Raw genomic sequence first — 21,744 nt, 5'->3', positions numbered from 1 at the left:
TTTTAAAATCTTGTAAGCTTAATGTACTGAGGCCTGTCTTCAGTTGGCCTAGTTTTCAGTAGCAAATAAACAAGATATATTTTAAACACTGAAGTTCTTATACACAAAATCTTCAGACTATAAATAACTGGAATAATAGCTACCTCTCCATAGGAAACTGCAATTCCTTTACTCTTCACTCTGTCAATAACATCTGTTATTGAGGTCACTTCCCTCTCACAAGCTCTCATCAGATACAAGTGACATCTCTCTCTTAATTGCCTCTCAACTTTTTGAATAATGAGTTTTATTCCAGATTAATTCCTCAAAAATCACATTCTGAATCAAGCAAATTAGTTGGAAACTGTGTCTACCATCAAGGATTAGATACTAGTACCTTTCATGAGAAATAATTTATTTTCCAATTTCCACTCAGGTGCAATTTATTTATCTCAAGGCTTGGAAAAAGACTTCCTACTAGAAGAAGTATCTTTTATTCAGAGGATTGTATTCATAGGCAATTATCCAAAAAGAAAAAGCTTATTGTATCTAAGAGAAACTGAGAAAGAATATATTAAGGGAAATAATTGACTTTTGATATAACTTCTTTAGTCATTATCCACATGCCATAACTCATCTTTTTGAACTGTCAACACAAAAAATTATCTATGATCAATAATGTATATATCAATACACAACATATATTCCTGTTATTTTTTCTTCATATAAATTTTCACTAGCCAAATTTAGTACCATAACAGGCTCTCCCTCAAGATTTTTCAAACAGGTAAAATGCACTACAAAAAACAAGGGTCATGGTACAGCTTTTGTTTTTTCAAAAAGTATACGCTTCCTCTGTATTAACAGATTTATGAATGCCTGACCCTTCTTTCCTCAATCTCTTTAGACTGTCATGAAGCTAAGATGGTGTAACATCTGTTTTTTGGTCAACAGAACAAAGAAATGAATTTTCAAAAACATTACACTGCCTACTACTCCATCCCAAACAGGCGTATTCTTTACTCTGACTTGTACAAAATAACTTTTTTTTTTTTTTTTTTTGAGATAAGAGTTTCGCTCTTGTCACCCAGGCTGGAGCGCAATAGCGCAATCTCGGCTCCCTGAAACCTCTGCCTCCTGGGTTCAAGCGATTCTCCTGCCCCAGCCTCCGAAGTAGCTGGGATTACAGGCGTGTGCCACCACACCTGCCTAATTTTTGTATTTTTAGTAGAGATGGGTTTTCACCATGTTGGCCAGGCTGGTCTTGAACTCCTGACCTTAAATGATCCACCTGCCTTGGCCTCCCAAAAGTGCTGGGATTACAGGCGCGAGCCACTGTCCCTGGCCAAAAGAACTTTTTAAAAGTGCTGTTTCAAAAAACAATTTTATTGGTTTTTTTTCAGACTGTATTATATAGCTCTTCAGCTTTATTACAATCATGCAAAAGCCAAAGGTTAATATTTGAAAATATTCTCCAAGCAAGGATTTAGTAAATACTTTGACTGTATTTCTGCTTTTTGCTAGAAAGTCTATTTCATTGCTAAAATGCATCTATTATATCAAATAAATGCATACAGCTATCTCCTATGTAGATACATCAAAAAAAAAAAAAAAAAAAAATCAGCCGGGCGCGGTGGCTCACACTTGTAATCCTAGCACTTTGGGAGGCAGAGGCAGGTGGATCACCTGAGGTCAGGAGTTCGCAACCAGCCTGGCCAACATGGTGAAACCTCGTCCCTACTAAAAATACAAAAAATTAGCCAGGCGTGGTGGCGGGTGCCTATAATTCCAGCTACTCGGCAGGCTGAGGCAGAATGGCTTGAACCTGGGAGGCGGAGGTTGCAGTGGGCTGAGATCACACCATTGCACTCCAGCCCGGTCAACAAGAGTGAAACTCCGTCTCAAAAAAAAAAAAAAAATCATAAATTAATTTTCAGCCCTATGTTTCTGATGCAAAGAAATGTCAAAGCAAACAGATTTTTAAGTACATTTCATTGACAACAATCTATTTCAAAACATTTTCCTTGCATTTTCAAGCAATAAAATGTAGTGCTTTTCAAAAACAGTGCATATTCTAAATATGTGACAACTATCCTAAATATCTGTAATAGGCTTTTGAGGGTATCATGTAAATCAAGGGAAAGTTTAACAATTTTAGTTTGAATCACCAAATGTATAATGATATTTACTTTATAAAAAAGATGTACATGTCATGGATCAGTCATGGCTTCTTAAATAACCACAAAATTGCCCAAATTCCTTGGAAACTGTTTTTTGGGATAAAGGAGCATTTTAAGTTGCTCAAACTCTTATTAAGTACAACTAGCCACTAGGCAAAGTTATCACAAGATAAACATTGGTAAAGGATCCAAAAATATTTATGCATAAATATACAGATGTAACATGAGACAGAGATCAACCCATAGCTGAGATTAACAGAAAAGTAGTCATAGCATTAAAAAGAATGCAAACTAAATGGTTTGCCTAAACCTCACTGTTCTAAATTTTACAAGAATAGATATGTGAGAAATTAGAAATACTAGATAACTATTAAAGAGCCAAGCTAATATGAAAATTGGTTTCACCATGCATTCAGGTTACGTTAAATAACCTATCAAGAAGAAGTCTTGGCTGGTCTCTTTACAAACAAGCATTAAGTATCTGAGAAATTTCTAAAAGGTAAAACTAAAAGGGCAAATTTCACCACAATTATATTCACTGGAAATGCTACCTTAATATATATATATATTTTTTTTTGAGATGGAGTCTCGCTCTGTCGCCCAGGTTGGAGTGCAGTGGTGCGATCTGGGCTCACTGCAAGCTCCGCCTCCTGGGTTCACACCATTTTCCTGCCTCAGCCTCCCGAGTAGCTGGGACTACAGGCGCCCACCACCATGCCCGGCTAATTTTTTTGTATTTTTTTTAGTAGAGATGGGGTTTCACCGTGTTAGCCAGGATGGTCTCGATCTCCTGACCTCGTGATGTGCCCACCTCGGCTTCCCAAAGTGCTGGGATTACAGGCGTGAGCCACTGCACCCGACCAACATTTTTTAACTTTATAAAAATTAATTTATAACTTTCTTAAAGCCACATTCCTAATTAATTACATGATTCCTAAGTTCTTCCAGAAGAGTAATAATTGCTCTAAGCCTTAGATTGAAGCAAAGAGGTTTTCTAACTTTTCATATATCTCTTGGGTGCCAAGTATTATTGAATAAGTTTCATTTAGTCAAAATAAAACAAATATAACAAACACAACTTAAATCATATACAAAAATTCTCCAGTTCCACCATGTCTTGAAATAACATTTGTTTTGCTTTTTTACCTGGTTCTCCTGTGATATCTCTGGTGCAGGGGGTGGTGGAGATTCTTCACACACTGCAAGGCTCCGAACTAGCTTTAACTTTGAGCTTGACTAAAGAGAAGTATTTATAATTAACACTACATTTCAGAAATCTAGGGCATATCCAAAAGCCCCCTAGAAAGAGTTTCTAAGTTTCTTTATAGTTTCTGCCATGTATAACAGTAGATGAAATGTGCAAGTTAAATATATCATTAAACACTACTGAAGGCCTTTGTTAAGAAGGAACACAAACATTTGCAGTTTTGAAAATTATAGCAATAGAAAGAATGGGAATAATTCCAACTTCATATCCCCAAAAATGGTGAGAAAGCGATTTTCTCTACAGATAAAGAACCATCAAGATAAAAAAAGCAATGCACAAAAGCGACTAGGCAAGACAAAAATCCCAAATAAAACAAAATAAGCTTTCTGCCCCCCATAAAATATGGAAGAACTAAACTGAATGTAGTGCTATATGAAAACAAGGATTCATCAAGCATGAAGGAAGGCCCTTGGCATGCCAGCACACCAAAATATTTACTATACCTTAGACCTTTTTCCTGTCTGTCCAAATGACTGCAATGGCCGCTGAATATACAAGAAAGATTTGTATTAAATTTCATACTGAAACAGAAAATTTGCTTCTTAATTCATAGTCCTAAACCACAGAAAAACTAACTGTGCATAAAGTATGAAAAGTGAGGAAATCAAAGTTGGTTTCAGTAAAGGAGTACTGATTCCTCCCAGAAGCACACTTGCAGAAGTTTCTTTAAAATCCTGATAGGTTGGCATTTTTATTATTTTTCTTTCTTAGGCATTTTTCTTTAAATCAGCAAATGGCCACAATTTCTGTGTTAATTGAGTACAATGGAACTTATATGGTGACTTCTTGGTAGTGAAATAAAATATACTTCATTATTTTACAACATATTATAGTTTAGCCAAGGTTAAGGAAAAAGAACACACACAAAAACCAGCAGTTAAAGGTGGATAAACTCAGAAAAGTTCCAAACTTAATGTTTCAAATGCACAGTAAGTCAGAGTCCAACCACAAATCTACTGAGGTGTTTCAACACTGTATAAAGTACACCACCAGTTTATTAGTGATAGAAACCTATTCATCAGGTCTGAGGTGAGGCAATGAAGCAGAAAGGAAGAAAAAAGGGCAGACTTCCAATACGGATGTCCAGCATGACTGACAGGCCGACCATCAGTCACATGATTGGAGAATGCGGTAAGGCAAACTAACTCAAGTTTGTGATACAAGCTTTGGTTTGGGAAACCAGCTGAAGCACCTGTGAACCAGAGCCAGATAGGTTTTAAACACTCCTTTCTTCCAATTTTCCTCCCCAAACCCAACACCAAATAGTACACGGCAAAAGTATCTATCATTTTTACTTCTTAACATGAGGGAGCCAGTCTGGTAACAAACATAAAACAGATACAAAATCCTTAATATCCAGACTAGTATGCTTTACATTAAAAAAAAAAACCCATCATTTTATTTCAAAAAGGCCTTCCTTGTAGAGTCAACAGAAACAAGAGTCTACAGTACCAGTATGTCCTGCTCCCATTTTGAGCCAAAAGTTCTTCAAAATTAAAAAGCACTGTATTCTTGGGATTTTAACCCTAGATTATACAAACTACAGAACAACAAAAGGAAAATAGAAAAAATAAAAGAAAAATGACTTTGTTTCTTATACAGAAGAAAATAGCATGTGTGCGCACACATGAATATGGCAGTGCCACCTAAGAGGTCTTCTGCATGTTGGTATTGTCTTCTGTTTTTACCTACTCTCTAACTTGTTCAAGAGGATTTCTAATTAACTGTAACTCACATCTAACAATAAAAGTAAAATAAATTGTACTACCATCTAGTCTAGGTGGTAGATGCCACCATCTAGGGATTACAGGAAAAAAAAAAGAGAGAGAAAAGCAACAGGTGAATACTATGAAAATGCACATACCTAAATGAGTTCTGAAGAAGCAGAAGGGAAAATAATTTGTGACTTACTCCCAGTCCTCTGCTTTAATCTCTTGTAATTTTAAGTATCACTGGTATAAAATCTTCTATTAAAAATTCTAAAAGGAAAGGGGTCATTAACTGTCAATGTAAATCCTGTATTCATATGCAGAAAAGCTGGACTTAAATTTTTGAATTTGCTTCTTATTAGTGGGTAACCATGGTCAAATTACTTCAGTTTACTTTTATCTGTCTAAAAGTTCATACTACTTGCACTAATTCACAGGATTCTTGAAAGGATTCAGTGAAAGCGTAGCTAACAAAGGGGCTTTGAAAACTCTAAAGTGTGTCATAAATGTAATCGATTATTAAAGGTTAGGAACTGACCATGTCAGAAAACCAATGTGCTGCCTCTGCTTATTAGCAATGAGATTAAGAAAAATTACTTAATCTAACAAATGCTAATTTAAAAAAAAGTCTATAAAATGGGGGTGCTGTATATTGTTCCTATCGTAATGCTTGAGAATATTCATAGACTTACACATGTATTTATCTCACTTTTAATCTACGAGGAGGCTTTGATGAAAATGAGGAAAAGATAAAGGAAGATACAGAGAAGTAAAATTATCTTAATTTGACTTCATTTAACAAACATGTTTTAGGTTCCTGCTGTACACCAGGTACTGTGCTAGGCACTAGAGCTATGAAGATGAATAAGACATAGTTCCTGGTCTTAAAGACCTCACAGTCCAGAATTAGTTACTAAAGTCAAACAGAACCCCATATCTTCAGAATCTTAGTCCAGTGCAATTAATATATTTTAAAAAACTTTATTGTGGATTAAATTCTACCTGAGGTAGACAGAATTCTAAAGATGGCACCCAAGATTCCCATCCACTGGTTATTTAATCAAACACAAATCAAGGTACTGCTAAGAAAGGATTTTGCTTTTTTGTTTTTTGAGACTGAGTCTCACTCTGTCGCCCAGGCTGGAGTGCAGTGGCGTGATATTGGATCACTGCAACTTCCGCCTCCCAGGTTCAAGTAATTCTCCTGCCTCAGCCTCCCAAGTAGCTGGGATTACAGGCGTTTGCCACCATGCCCAGCTAATTTTTGTATTTTTAGTAGAGACAGGGTTTCACTGGGTGGCCAGGATGGTCTCAACCTCCTGACCTCAACTGAGCAGTCCGCCTTGGCCTCCTAAAGTGCTGGAATTACAGGTGTGAACTACCATACCCTGCTGGATTTATGCATTTGTTAACTAAGCTCCAAGCCAAGTGACCTTAAGATACAATTTAAGATTCAGGTGAGTCTGATTCAATCAAGTGAGCCCTATAAAAGCTCAAACATTTCTCTGGTGGGAGCACGGGGGCAAGTCAGAGAGATTTAAAGCGTGAGAAGGACTCGACATATCGTTGATGGCTTTGAAGATAGAGGGGCCATGTAAGGAGGACTATGAGCAGCCTCTCAGAACAGAGTGGCCTTTACTGACAACCAGCCAAAAAACAGGACCTCAGACCTACAGCTTCAACAAACTAAGGTTTGTCAACAACTGGAATAAGCCTTGAAGCAAATTCTTTCCCAAAGCGTTCAGAAAAGGGCCCAGCCTGGCTGACTTTGGCCTCATAGAACCCTAAGCGGACAACACAGTTGGGCCCACTGTGAGCTGATAATGGGTGTTGTCTTTTAAGCCTCTATGTTTGTGGTAATTTTTATGCAGCAATAGAAAACTAATACACTACTATATAAGTAAACCATAAATTGCTAAAGTGGCATTGTTCAATAACATAATTTATTTCGATTTCCTTTCAAACAGCAAATAGAAATTATATGTACTAGAAAATATGCCATACATACATAACAAAGCAGAGAAAACAAGTTGTTTATTAAAGTAAACATTTTATTTCATATTTTTGTAATCTACTTGGCAGCCAGATTTGGCTTTAAGTAGCAATTCCCTCTATTTGATATGTAATTATTTTAAAAGTGGATTTTATTATTTAGAGCACACTTTTCACCCTTAGCAGAATTTCACTGTCACAGCAAAAATTTAGCAGCTTGTTTAATAGACCTGTATTAGTCCAGAGAAATGCTATTTATATTAGAATTTAGAAGGCTTAGGGACAAAGTCCCCAATTTATAATTTACATTGTTTTATACTGAAGTATAAGACAGGAACTAGGCGAAAAAATGGGTGCAGAATATGAAACATCCTTAATAGAATTTCAGTTTGAAATTGATACTAATACGTTGTCAGAGTTACCAGCTACTAGAATTTGGAGAACTGAAAAAAACAGAGCAATCCTTATGAGTTATATATGTATTAGCACAAAAATAACCAATTAAATATCACTCAACTAAGAAAATCTGACATTTAAAAAATAGGAATAATTTTCTCTTTGTAATTAATAATTGTTATGAAGAAAAATTATAATGGTTACACCCTTTCAACCAGACTCAAAACACCTTGAAGAGGTTACGAATTCTCAGTACTTTTCTAGGTAATAGTAAAGATTAGTGGCAATTGTAAGGAAGATAATGAATTAAAATGTTCCATGTCTAGTTAAGGTCAGGGCAGTAAAAATAATGGATGCCAGGATGCTAATTTCTACTGGAATAAATGAAAAATACAAAGTTCTCTGAGGTGGGAGAGCTATTTTAAAAATCAATAAACTAAACACAATCACTAATTTGTTTTTAACATTTAATCTTTCGAGCCATAAAGCACAGAGTTAAATACTCAAAGGCCTAACTCTTAGATTCTAACGAAAAGTATGTGGAGAAAGTCACAAACTATCTGGTTTATAGTTATTCCTTATAATAAATGAAGATACAGGATCATCCCATCCCACTGGTGATGTACATGAAAATTATCCAAAGAAGTACAAACGGTAAGTATGCAAAAGCATTTCTACATCTACAAGATGTAGCCAACATCTTTACGCAGCACAAGAAAGCACCGTGAAAAGTAAATGTGCTTAAAAGAACTACCATATGTGCATATGACCCAAGTTCAGTAGAAAGAGTACCAAATCCTAGAAATAATTATAAAAATATACTATGGAAAATGTATCATAAGTTTTAAAAAGTTGAACTCATTCAATATTAATAAAAAACAATAAAAATACAGCATACAGATACAGAACTTAATAGAATTAAAACTACTGTACTGAAAATGTGGGGAGGTTATGTTAAAATTAAGTTTTACTCTGTTTTATTACTAAAGAAAAAATCTTGCATGACAATAAAGCCACAAATTTTTGAGAAGCCATAGAATCGTGTTATTGCTAATAGTAACAATTATAACATTGTTAATAGCACCTACCATTTGCTAGGCTCTATGTACTAGGTACATTACATATATCTTTTTTTCTCTGAGACAGGGTCTGACTCTGTCACTCAGGCTGGAGTCCAGTGGTGCAATCACAGCTCACTATAGCCTTGACCTCCTGGGCTCAGATGATCCTCCCACCTCAGCCTCCAGAGTAGCCGCCATGCCTAATTGTTTGTGTTTTTTTGTAGAGATGGGGATTTGCCATGTTGCCCCAACTGGTCTCACACTCCTGGACTCAAGCATTCTGCTTGCCTCGGCCTCCCAACGTGCTGGGATTACAGGCGTGAACCACCGTGCGCAGCCATCCTTTTTTTTTTTTTTAAATTTTATTTTTTTTTAAGGGACAGGTCTTACTCTGTTGCCCAGGCTGGAGTGCACTGGTGCAATCCTAACTCACTGCAGCCTTGAACTCTCAAGTCATCCTCCCACCTCAGCCTCCCAAACAACTGTGACTACAGGTATGTACCGTGACGCATGAATAATTTTTTTATTTTTATTTTTGTAGAGACAAAGTCTTCGTGTGTTGTCCAGGCTGGTCTCAAAGTCCTGGGCTCAGGTAAACCTCCTGCCTCGGCATCCCAAAGTGCTGGCAGGAGCCACCACGCTTTGCCACATACATGCTTTTAATCTTTGTTTGACAAACAGGAAATAGCTAAGATTATTATTTGAATGATTTTATATAAAGAGACTTTTATTCAGTCCTTTAAAAAAATACTTCATTTCTTAACAGATTAATGAAATAAGTTAATTGTTTCATCAATACTTTCCAAGCAAATGAGGGAATTTGTTATGTACTGCCTTCATTGTCGAAGAAGCGTGGCATTGTGTTCTGAACTTTTCTGATAGCCTTATTAGATTCATTGCTTTCTTGCCCAAACCTCTTTTAAAGAAATGCACTGGAATTAACTTGAGGGATACAAGACATAAGAGTCTCATCTTGATTATCGAAGGGCTTACTACTGAAACAGAATATACAAAACATGTACTTTAGCCAACTCTGTGTATGGAAAATTGACTCACGTATGTCAGAGCTATTCATTGACTCTGGCACACAAGGCCTAGTTTTTAACAGAAATCAGCTCTCTTATTTTCTCCATGACAAGGGTTACCAACACAATGTGGACTCCCTATCCTATTGTTAATAATAATGTGAGGGAGAGGCATTGTTTGAACTGTTCCCAGATATGTTTTGAATTGTGTGCATATACACATGTATACAGATGAACATCCCTGGACAAACTATTTGTTAAGTACAAAGATACAACTGTAAAAGAATGGGAAAGTTGAGTTTGAACCTTTAATAAGCAGAGCACAGAGTTCTGAATTTTATATTTAAAATAAATGACTGTAAAAATCAACACAAATAATTTACTCTAAGTTTTTTAAATTTTTTTTTTTTAAGACAGGGTCTCACTCTGTCACCCAGGCTGGAGTAGAGTGGCACGGTTTCAGCTCACTGCAACCTCGATCTCCCTGGCTCAAGCAATTCTCCCACCTCAGCCTCTTGAGTAGCTGGGACTACAAGTGCATGCCACCACATCCAGCTAATTTTTTTATTTTTTTTGGTAGAGACAGGGTTTCGCCATGTTGCCCAGGCTGGTCTTGAATTCGAGCTCAAGCGATCCGCTTGCCTTAGCCTTCCTCAAAGTGCTGGGATTACAGTCATGTGCCACCGCACCAGGCTAATTTAGACTAATTGTAATCTGAAAAACCTATCCGCGAAGAAAATCAAACAATGGAAACCCATCGGTGAGTTATACACAGGAAATCAAAGCAAATACTCCCCACCATCCAATTAACCCATGTTAAAGATTAGGGATACTCATAGTCTAACAAAATACATTTTTCTGGATTTAGAAACCTGGCATCCACCACCCCAACCTTCCAAATGTTTCATAAAAATATAAAGTCCGAAATGTACCTCTACATTCTCAACAGGAACAGTGTGTGGCAGCAGAAAAATTCCTAACCAAAAACCTGTCAGATAATTATTTGAGACCATAATCAACAATTCAGAACAACTCCAAGGCAATTATGTGGGACAGTTAACTTCCTGACGTTAATGCACACAGGTTTCTTGAATTAGCTCTGAAGTATTAAGAAATTTTTATGAAAGTAATCCTAAAATTTCTATAAAATATTACAGTCCAAAACAAAACCCTGAATAAGAAACACAACATTTTTTAAAAGTGGAAAGAGAAAACTAGTGAAAGTAGAAAGAAAACACAAGTAGAATTATTTATAAATTAAATGGTCAAAGAGCTCTCTGAGATAATCTCTGCTTGGAACCACCTGAGATGACATGTAATGTCTGTTGGCCTCTCTCTGGTTTGATGAAATTATTTTTTATGTAAATACTACCCTTAACAGAAAGAAAATCATAAAGTCTCTTCATAGTACAAAAGGGGCTGTAACATCCCTTAATTAACAATGACTTCACTCAAAATGTATATATTAAACGTGCAGTTTTTTTATATAAATGAATAAAATGAATGCATCTTTTGGAAGGTAAACATTTGTTTCCTTTAATCACTTTAAATATTACTATGCTGAAGCAAGATAACAGATGTAAGTTATAATATTCATGGTAGCTGATTTTCAGAATGAGAGCAAAGTAGAGAATATCTTATCACTCTATTAGAAAAAATAATAGTTTATCCAAAAATCTCAATAGAAAACCTACATTATTTGCTACATACATCCAAACTTATGAGTGAAAAACAGCAGTTGCTATTTAAGATGACAACCTTTAGGCAGTACCTTAGAGGTACCAAAGGAAGATGAAATATCTGGTAGTATGTTAGAATAGTTAACTCCACATTAAGTTAAAAGTAACTCTGTATTAACCAGACTTTTTAAAACAAAACACTTATTCCCTGTTGATGCTTAAAACAGTTAACTTTGTTTTACAATATTTTAAATGAAAACACAGAAGAAACCAATTTTCCAGTTTTATCTACTTCCAATTCCCAATTTCCATTAATTAAATCTGTTCTATACAAGGTATCTCAACTGTACACCCCTTGCCAGGCACCTTGGATGAAAGCATTTTGGGCCTCAAAAGCTCAAAGCAGGGTCAATATTCTTACATATAGTAAATTATTATTATTATTATTATTATTATTTTGAGATGGAGTCTCGCTGTGTCACCTAGGCTGGGGTGCAGTGGCGTGATCTCGGTTCACTGCAACCTCCGCCTCCTGGGTTCAAGTGATTCTCCTGTCTCAGCCTCCCAAGTAGCTGGGATTACAGGCGTGCGCCACCATGCCCAGCTAATTTTTTTGTATTTTTAGTAGTGACAGGGTTTCACCATGTTGGTCAGGCTGGTCTCGAACTCCTGACCTTGTGACCCGCCCACCTTGGCCTCCCAAAGTGCTGGGATTACAGATGTGAGCCACTGCGCCCGGCCCATATAGTAAATTATTAATAAATACTTCAATAAACAATGAATATGGCATTCACCAGATTAACATAAAATAAATTCTCACATTCTCTTTTTCCCTCCTTCCAAATCGTTACAGTCGCTATGCTATAGGAAACAAGAGGTCAAAGACCATACCCATGTTTGTTTACTATGGTATTCCCTTGGTAAAGAAGAGATTTTTCAATAAATGGTTTGGGTAATGTGGGAAATTTTCTTATACTACAAACAACTGGGCCATGATGCAAAAGTGGTCATCAGAATGTTCTTGTGGCTTACTGCCAAGGGCAACACAATAGACATGGTAGGAAATGCAATAACCCAAATTAATGACTTGTTGATAAGCATGATCTAGGAAAAGAAATATTAGGTGTAGAAAAGAGGCTAAAATGAAGTATTTTATTATTTCAATCACAAATGCACTAGAATTTTAGCAGATTTTCTCTGATGCAATCAGGACACTGGCATGCTGTCATCACTGAGTGTACTGATTACAGGTATGGCAATTTTTTGTTGTTCTAGAAAGTGCTATTAGTAAAAATGACTGGGAAAAAAATGTTATTTCTCCCAATTTCTTAGATGATTACCACTTGACTATAAGTGGGGCCTAAATGCTTTTTTTATAGCTGGAGGAATTGCTATCATTGTCTAACCTGGTGTCTGGTACATAATAGGAAAAAAAGACAGTTTTTGACTGAACAAAAGAATGAGAAAACCTTTAAAAACAGGTTTCTTGGCCAGCAGCGGTGGCTCACGCCTGTAATCTCAGCAGTTTGGGAGGCTGAGGCAGGTGGATCATGAGGTCAAGAGATCGAGACCATCCTGGCCAACATGGTGAAACCCTGTTTCTACAAAAAATACAAAAATTAGCTGAGCATGGTGGCGCACGCCTGTAGTCCCAGCTACTTGGGAGGCTGAGGCAGGAGAATTGCTTGAACCCGGGAGGTGGAGGCTGCAGTAAGCCAAGGTTGCGCCACTACACTCCAGCCTGGTGACAGAGCGAGACTCTGTCTTAAAAACAAAAAACAAAAAAACCCCGCCCCCCCACCCAAAAAAACCAGGTTTCTTTACTTTAAAAAAGTGAAGCTAAAAAAGAAAACACAAAAGAAAAAAAAAATGAAGCTATACTTTTTGGCTTATAGCCTTCAAAGTCTTTAGCATATAGAATGATAGAATATTTTCTCCAAAAATAGAATTCTTTAATTGCAAAGCAAAAATTAAAACATTGTTAAACTTTTTTTTTTAATTCTTTTTTTTTTTTTTTTTTGAGATGGAGTCTTGCTCTGTCACTAGGCTGGAGTGCAGTGGTGCGATCTTGGCTCACTGTAACCTCTGCCTCCCGGGTTCGAGTGATTCCCCTGCCTCAGGATAGCTGGGACTATAGGTGCGCGCAACCATGCCTGGCTAATTTTTTGTATTTTTACTAGAGACAGGGTTTCACCATGTTGGTCAGGATGGTCTCGATCTCCTGACCTTGTGATCCACTCACCTCGGTCTCCCAAAGTGCTGGGATTACAGCCATCGCTCCCGGCCTAAACAATTTTTTTTTGAATAACTTTTTGTGGTAGCTTAAAGGTGGCTACAAATTCTTTCCTACTGAGAGGTAGGGTCTAATTCCCCATCCTCTGGCCTGGCTTTATTGACTTATGTCATCAAAAGAAGATAGCTGAAGTAACGTTCTGGAACTTCTGGGCCTATGTCAAAAGAAACCTTGCAGCTTTGCTTGGCTTTCTTGGAACATTCTCTCTGGGACCCCTGAGCTGCCACATAAGAAGTCTGACTACTTTGGACCCACCTTGTTGGAGGAGCCATAAATAGGTGCTTCTAGTTCTACCTGAGCCCAGCACTGCAGCCTTGCCTACCTAGGTGCCAGACAGGTGCGAGAAGCAATCCGGGATGCTCCAGACCAAGTCCACCGGCCTGTTAAATGCCAACAAAGGACCTCTTTGGATACCCTGTAGAATAGAAAATTCACTCAGCCCAAGCCTTGCTTCGTTTCCTGACTGATAAATGATGAGATATTAAAAAAAAAATTGTGGGCCAGGTGCGATGGCTTGCGCCTGTAATCCTAGCATTATGGGAAGCCGAGGTGGGCGGATCGCCGGAGCTCAGGAGTTCTAGAACAGCCTAGGCAACACAGTGAAACTCCATCTCTACTAAAATAGAAAAATTAGCCGGGTGTGGGGGTGCATGCCTGTAGTCCTAGCTACTCGGGAGGCTGAGGCAGGAGAATTGCTTGAACCCAGGAGAGGGAGGCTGCAGTGAGCCGAGATCACACCACTGCACTCCAGCCTGGGCGACAGAGAGAGACTCCATCTCAAAAAAATAAAATAAAATAAAATAAATTGTTTAAAAGTGTTAGCCCTTCATTCTGAGAAAATAGATAACTGGAAAACCTTACCAAAGAAATGAATAGTACTAGAAATGCTATTACTTGGGACCATTTTTACCTATCTTCAATTTGTTAATCAACTCAATTTCCATTTATGCCTGGAATTAGAAGCCTTCTCAGTGGCTAGCTCTAAGTCATTATATATGCACAGCATTAAAAGCATTAACTTCCCCCGGGCCCACAAATCTTTTTTGTCAGTCAGGTTGAGTGACTGAGGAACCCCCTGAGGGCTGTTTTTGCCAATAGTTCGTCTGCAGTTTTATTGTATTCTATTTGTCTTTCCTTTAAGAGCTCTTAGGTTAAACTCAAAATTTAACTGTGAGAGTTCAAAACTCTCACAGCACTGGTAATTAGGAAAAGGGTGGAATGAGAAAGTAGAAAGCCAATAAAAATGCACTAGCCACATACAAATAAAAAGAAGTATATTACATGATACAAGCCAAGTTAAGACTCACAGCAAGCTAATCCAACTGGCTCCAAAACCAGCTAGTAAGCATGTCACGAAGGGTCAACTTACCCTTTTAGAATTTTGAGAAGTGAGTTTTGTATGAAAATAAACATAAATATATACTGAATATTTAGTATTTGTAGCCAGAGAAAAATTCCTGTTTACCTGCAAATCTATATTGTTCTCAATACAATGTTCATTCTTCTCTACCAAAATCTTCCCATAGTTTTCTGATTTGATAAGATTTTCAACTCTGGTTGTATCTTTCACTTCTGCCTCCAAATCCTTCATTGTTGCAGTTTCATCTTTTACAGTAACAGTATCAGACATCCTCATTAGAAAAGGTTATTTTCGAATTCTACAGGGAGCTTGAAGCCTTAAGAAAAAAAAATTAATACAGTTTGAAACTTTTTTACATTCAGTTACTGCATGATACTGACCTACTGTCTGTTATGTTCCAGAAATAATGTTGAATATAGACAGGAACAAAATTCTTGATTTCAAGGAGTATATAATTTTGTGCTAGATACATCCAAATTAAAAAAAAGATCACAATACAGTGAGAAAAGAGCTATAGAAAGTATGTGAGCCAGGCACAGTGGTACCCAGCTGTAGTCCCAGCTACTTGGGAGTCAGGCAGGATGACTGCTTGAGTCCAGGAGGCAGAGGCCAACCAGGGCAACATAGCAAGACCCTATTGCTAACACATAAGTGTGTTTTTTTTACATTTAAAAAAAGAATATGGAGTGATTTTGATGCACATATACTTGTGGCAATTCTTAAGAAACATTAAGGACCGAGCCAGATCAAGGTAGAAGGTAATGGCTGGAGAATAATATATGTGTATTTAGAAGACATTAGAAATCTTTTTCTCCAAAGGGATACCTATAATAGCTTTTTCATCTGGATTCCTAAAATTCCAAATTTCTTAAATTACCCTGAAATATTTCCAAAAGGAAATAATTTAAAAATAAACAGTAACATTCTATTACAAAATACACTTGTAAATCTGGATTAACAAATATGTTCAGCAATATGAAGAAAGCATTGAAAACTCTCCTGAATTAAGTGATTCAATGCCAAACAACACATTATCCAGGCACTCTAGAATATGGAATCCACAGGAAATCAAATACATAAGATTCCAATATATTTTCATGTCATTAGTGAGTTTAAGAAAATCACTGGTTTTGCACTGGATTAATGTATCAGAGATTAAGCTAAAGATAGCACTCATTTTAAGCTGCAAAAAATGTAATAAAAACAGCAGAACTTGGCCGGCTGCGGTGGGTCACGACTGTAATCCCAGCACTTTGGGAGGCCAAGGTGGGCGGATTGCTTGAGCTCAGGAGTTCAAAACAAGCCTGGGCAACGTGACAAAACCCAGACTCTACTAAAAATACAAAAATTAGCCAGGCATGGTGGTGCATGCCTATAATACAGCTACTCAAGAGGCTGAGGCACAAGAATTGCTTGAAGCCAAAAGGCGTGTGTTCCAGTGAGCTGTGATCACGCCACTAGACTCCACCTTGGGTGACAGAGTGAGGCTCTGTCACAAAACAAAACAAACAAAAAAACCCAATAATGGCAGAACTTTATATAAACAACTTATTCTGAAATGCATCTTTAAAAAAAATGAACAGATTGATATATAGAGGGATAGACAGATATAGGTTATAGCAAGTATGCTAAAATGTTACTGGTGAAATCAAGGGGTGGTTATAGGGATGTTCACTGTAAAATTCTTTCAACTTTTCTATATTTCTGAAAATTTTCGTAATAAAATCTTGTGGCGGGGGGGAAACCAGTGAAACTTATTTTCTCTATATCAATTTGAAAAATTCAAAAGTTCATTTCCTGAAAGAATGTTTTGCAATCTAAATGGATTTTAGGGCCAGGTGCAGTGGTTTACACCTGTAATCCCAGTGCATTAGGAGGCTGAGGCAGGTGTATCACTTGAGGCCAAGAGTTTGAGACCAGCTTGGCCAACATGGCGAAACCCCATCTCTATTAAAAATACAAAAATTAGCTGGGCATGGTAGCACGTGCCTGCAAGCCTGTAGTCCCAGCTACTTGGGAGGCTGAGGCAGGAGAATTGCTTGGACCTGGGAGGCGGAGGTTGCAGTGAGCCAAGATCGCGCCACTGCACTCCAGTCTGGGTGACAGAGTGAGACTCCATCTCAATAAATACATAAATAAATGGATTTTAGGAATTGATAAATACAGCTCAAAAGTTAAAAAAGCCAAAGAGAAGTAGGTCTTAAAGTCACAGACAGACTGAACTGAATTAAAAAAAGAAAACCATGTCTTCCTTAATTATAACCCATACAAAAGTTAATTGGTTCATTCCGAAAACAAACAGCTGCAAAGTAGGGAGAGGGTGGTGAAGTTACTTAAGACACTGGCTTCTTGCTTTTTATAGGTGAGATTTTGTAAGAAAAATATGTTTTTCTGAATGACAGGGAAGCATTACCTGATGCGTCCTTTGGATTTGGGATTGTGGTGTCCCACAAAAATAAAATAAAATAATCCAAGGTTCTTTTTCACAGTTGTCAGCCAGGATGTCAACTGTAGTGAACCATCTGTAATCTGGCAGGAGGAGTCCCATGTCCTTGTCACCACTGTAGATTCCCGGACTGGAATGGACTGTCTTGGATCAAATATATCATACCTTTCCGTGGCCTAAAATGAAAACAAAAGAAACCATTTTAACAAAATGGCCAAGGGAAATGGAACACTCCACATGAAACTGAGAAATTAAAAATATTACTGTCAGTTGTTTTATTACATTATTTTCCTAAACGAAAGTCAGAACACTGAGTAACAATGAATTCTAACATATATTAGCTTTGTGAACCTGAATAAGTCACTGAGGCCGAGAGGATTGATTAGTTAAAAGCAGAAGAGAGAAGAGGAAAGAAAATGATATGTACTGAGAAGCTACAATGCAGTCAGGGTTATAATTGAGATAGTATCTATAGATAAAGAGAGAGAAAAAAGATCATAATCAGAAACACTTTAACTCCAAGAACCATCATTTTTAGAGTTCTCTTCTAGAGCTGTGTAACTCTATGGACTTAAGACTGTAATTTTGAACCGTAATAACATTCTAGATTTTTAAAAATACAAAAGAAAAAATAAAACAAAAATAACAAGCCATTTAACATTTTTAATGAAACCCACATTGTCTGTTCTAAAAAAAAAAAAAAAAAAAAAAGTTGGCTGGGTGCAGTGGCTTGTGCCTATAATCCCAGCACTTTGGGAAGCCAAGGCAGGAGGATCACTTGAGGCCAGGGGCTCAAGACTAGCATGGGCAACACAGTGAGACCCCATCTCTACAAAAATTAAAAAATTAGCTGGGTGTAGGGGTGTGCACCTGCAGTCCTAGTTACTTGCGAGGTTGAGGTGGGAGAATAGCTTTAGTTGGGGGTTACAGTTAGCTATGATCATGCTACTGCACTCCAGTCTGGATGGCAGAGCAAAAACAAAACAAAACAAAACAAAAATCCCCAAATACAAAATTTTCTCCATGTTATATTTTTGAAGTCGGTTTTATTTTATATTTATTCGGTATGAATGAATATAGCCTAGCAAGTAAACAACTCTAAAAAGATTATTTACCTCTTCCATTGTCCTTTGACAATTTTGCTGTCAATAAACAGAATAGTACATTTTAAGGTGAAATAGCTAAGCATACATATATGCATATAATGAGATCTAAGCACCAAGAGACCTAATACCAAGACAGCCAAGCATGCATTATAGAGTAACTCACATTTTATACTAACTCTTCAAAAACCATTTTGAAATACAATCACTTGGAACCCGATATATCCTTACATTACTTTTCACATTTTGATTTCACAATGTTTGACACAAGGATAATAGAAAAGGGGGTATCAAAAACAAATATCAAAAAACTTTTAATTGATACCGTGTCATCTCAATCTGACCAAGATTCTCCAGCCACTACATCAAATGATTAAGTTCCACCAAAAACAAAACAAAACAAAAATCCTTCAAGTATTTTTTCTCCATTTTAGCTTTTTATCTCATAAAATGGTAGACACAAGATGGCAGCATTCTCTAAGCAACCAAATTATTTGTGTTCTTTGTAAAGTGACTTTACAATTTTATCATGAATCTCTTAATTTTGTAATTCCATAAAAGCAAGGTTTTTAATCCATTTAAGAAATAAATAAGGTACTAGATAAGGCAATAGCTGCAGGGGAGAGTGAGGAAGGGGCAAAACCGAAGAGGTGAACACCTTAGAAGATCCTCTTAGGATCCCAAGGTTCCATGAAACCCCAAAGAACCTGAGAGACCACCTAGTCCAATATTGTAATTCAGCATTCAAGTTATTATTGCCTAGAAGTCAAATGACTTCTTCAAAGTCACACAACCAGTATGTGTGACCAAAACTTGGTAATATGCCACACCATTTGATAACAGACTAAATAATGAATGATTCAGAATGAAAATGACCAGTTATTGCCTGGGAAGGAGTCAATGGCATATAGAAATGGCAATAGAAAGGGAAGTGCACTAGCATTAGACGATAATTTAAATCCCAGCTCTGCCAGTTATATTTTCGGTAAATAACTTAATCTCTCTGAGCTGCAGTTTTCTGATCTGCAAAGTGGAAAAAAGAATATCTAGCTTCTAGGTTTGTTGTGAGGACTGACTGATTTAAATGTAGAGCACGGACCACAGCCTCTCTCCCAGGGCAGGCCCTCCAAAAATGTTAGCTGTCTTCTCTGGTCAGAATCCCTTTAGATCAGCAGTTGGCTGAGCCTAAATTTGCTGTGTCCTGACCCCTACCACTACACAGCAGTAGACTGACAGGAGGCCTAACACTGTGTACAAGCGGCTTAGCATTTTTGTGTATGGCTCTCATTTGAAGGCTTCTAATTGAATATTAAAAATTCATACAAACTGTTGGGTATAGTGGCTCAGGCCTGTAATCTCAGGACTTTGGGAGGTGGAGGCAGAAGGATCACTGAGACCAGGAGTTCAAGACAAGCCTAGGCAACATAGCAAACCCTATCTCTACAAAAAAAAAAAAAAAAAAAAAAAAATCATACGAACTTTGTATTCTTCTCCAAAATATTAATGCACTAGTTTAATTTTTAATTTTTTTTTTTTTTAGAGACAAGGTCTCACTCTGTAACCCAGGTTGGAGTTCAGTGGCACAATCCTGACTCACTGCAGCCTTGACCTTTGAGGCTCAAGCTATCCTTCCACTCCGGCCTCCTGAGTAACTGCGACTATAGGTGCCCACCACTATGCCCAGCTAATTTTTAAATTGTTTTTGTAGAGACGGGGTCTTGCTATTTTGCACAGGCTGGTCTCAAATTCCTGCGCTCAAGTAATCCCCCGTCCCAACCTCCCAAAGTGCCGGGATTACAGGTGTGAGCCACTTTGCCCAGCTAATGAACTTGTTTGATATAAAAATGTTTTCCCTCTCCAAATCTTCAAGTAAAAGGGATGTTTCAGCTTTTGGTACTCACTGGAAAAACAAAAACAAACCCCTTTTTGGTAAACCCATGAAGCCTACACTTCTCAGTTTGCCAAAGGTTGTGTGGGCACGTGGGTGTCAAGTATAGAAAGCTACAAGATAGACATGGCACATCATGTCTCTAACACAACATTTAGAAGTCCATTAAATGTACTGTCTTAATATAATAAATAGTTGTACAGTAAGTGAAAGATACTTAGGAACTTACAAAATTTAGGAAGACAACTTAGAGAAAAAAATGAACAAAATATAGACATTCAAGTATATATCTCAGTTCCTACTATTACTGAAATTTAAAAACTGAATTTTTCAGAATCTTTGTCAACCTAAGAGAGATGGATATATGAGCTCAAAATTCATATTCAACTTCAAAAAAAAAATTCTAATTGTCAACATGCTATTTATTAGGGACAAGTCAGAGATGTGCTTATATATAATTCCTGTGCTACCAGGTAGATAACCAGAGAAACGCCACATGTATGTTTACATATGCACAAAAAGGATGGCACTTACCTGAAACCATAAATGAAAGGAAATTACAGGTAAAATTAAAGGTCATAACCTTAAAAAAGTAAAACTATGAATGCACAAGGATATATAGGAAATCTTTTTATAATTTTTGGGTGGGAAAGTCCTTCCCAAGTGTGACACCAAAATCTAGAAGCCATTAAAGGTAAATAGTTATAAAACTTAGAACAAAGTTTTAAAATTCCTGTATAATAAAATAGAACATAAACAAAAGGCAGATGATACATATGAACTATTTCCAACATGAAAGGGTCAAAATGTTGAAAGCAAAGAAGGTCTTATAAATCAAAGGAAAGAAAAGGATGGGGGAATGACAGGAACAGGTAAGCTAAAAAAGAATACAAACAACTACCATCAAAACCAAATACTAATACATATATTTACCATGTGCCTGGCCCTGTGGTAATATTTTTCATAATGAATTCATTTAAAACTCACACAACAGTTCTAAGAAGTATGTCCTATTATCACTCTGTCCTACAACAGATTAGGAAACTAAGGCAGATAGAAAAATCAAGTAATTTGTCCAACATCACACAGCCAGTAAGTATGGAAAACAGGATTTGAACTGGACAGACTAGTGCTCCATTTCAGGCTCTTACCCGCAATACTGTATCATCATCTGTAGGTACCAAGAAGAGGGGCAATTTGTGTTTACGGAGCACTTTCATTTCAAGAGTAATTATGACATGGTAACTCCTTTGTACTGGACTTAAGACAAAGTAAACTTATTCTTTTCACATGAAGAGGAGCTATGTATTTTTTGTGTGTGTACAAGAAGATAGTACTATTAACTTTGTATTAATGGTCACCAGGA

The 21,744-nt window shown here is 37.0% G+C and overlaps 1 protein-coding gene across 7 annotated transcripts in view; it reads right to left on the bottom strand.

Moving 5' to 3' along the window:
* The window catches only part of R3HDM1 (R3H domain containing 1), a 193,786-nt gene that overhangs the window by 105,207 nt on the left and 66,835 nt on the right, over positions 1-21,744 (bottom strand). For 5 of the 7 annotated variants that reach the window (NM_001378107.1, NM_001354200.2, NM_015361.4 and 2 more), the window contains exons 2-5: positions 17,355-17,563; positions 15,047-15,257; positions 3,870-3,911; positions 3,306-3,395 (exon numbers count right to left, since the gene is read on the bottom strand). In NM_001378107.1, the coding sequence (NP_001365036.1) occupies positions 3,306-3,395; positions 3,870-3,911; positions 15,047-15,217 (303 nt within the window). In that variant the 5' untranslated portion in view covers positions 15,218-15,257; positions 17,355-17,563. The remainder of the gene's footprint in view (positions 1-3,305; positions 3,396-3,869; positions 3,912-15,046; positions 15,258-17,354; positions 17,564-21,744) is intronic. The other 2 variants (NM_001282799.2, NM_001282800.2) reach the window with 2 other exon arrangements.

This window comes from Homo sapiens, chromosome 2 (genome assembly GCF_000001405.40).
Source record: "Homo sapiens chromosome 2, GRCh38.p14 Primary Assembly".
NCBI lineage: Eukaryota > Metazoa > Chordata > Mammalia > Primates > Hominidae > Homo > Homo sapiens.
This window is presented reverse-complemented; position numbering and strand designations above follow the sequence as displayed.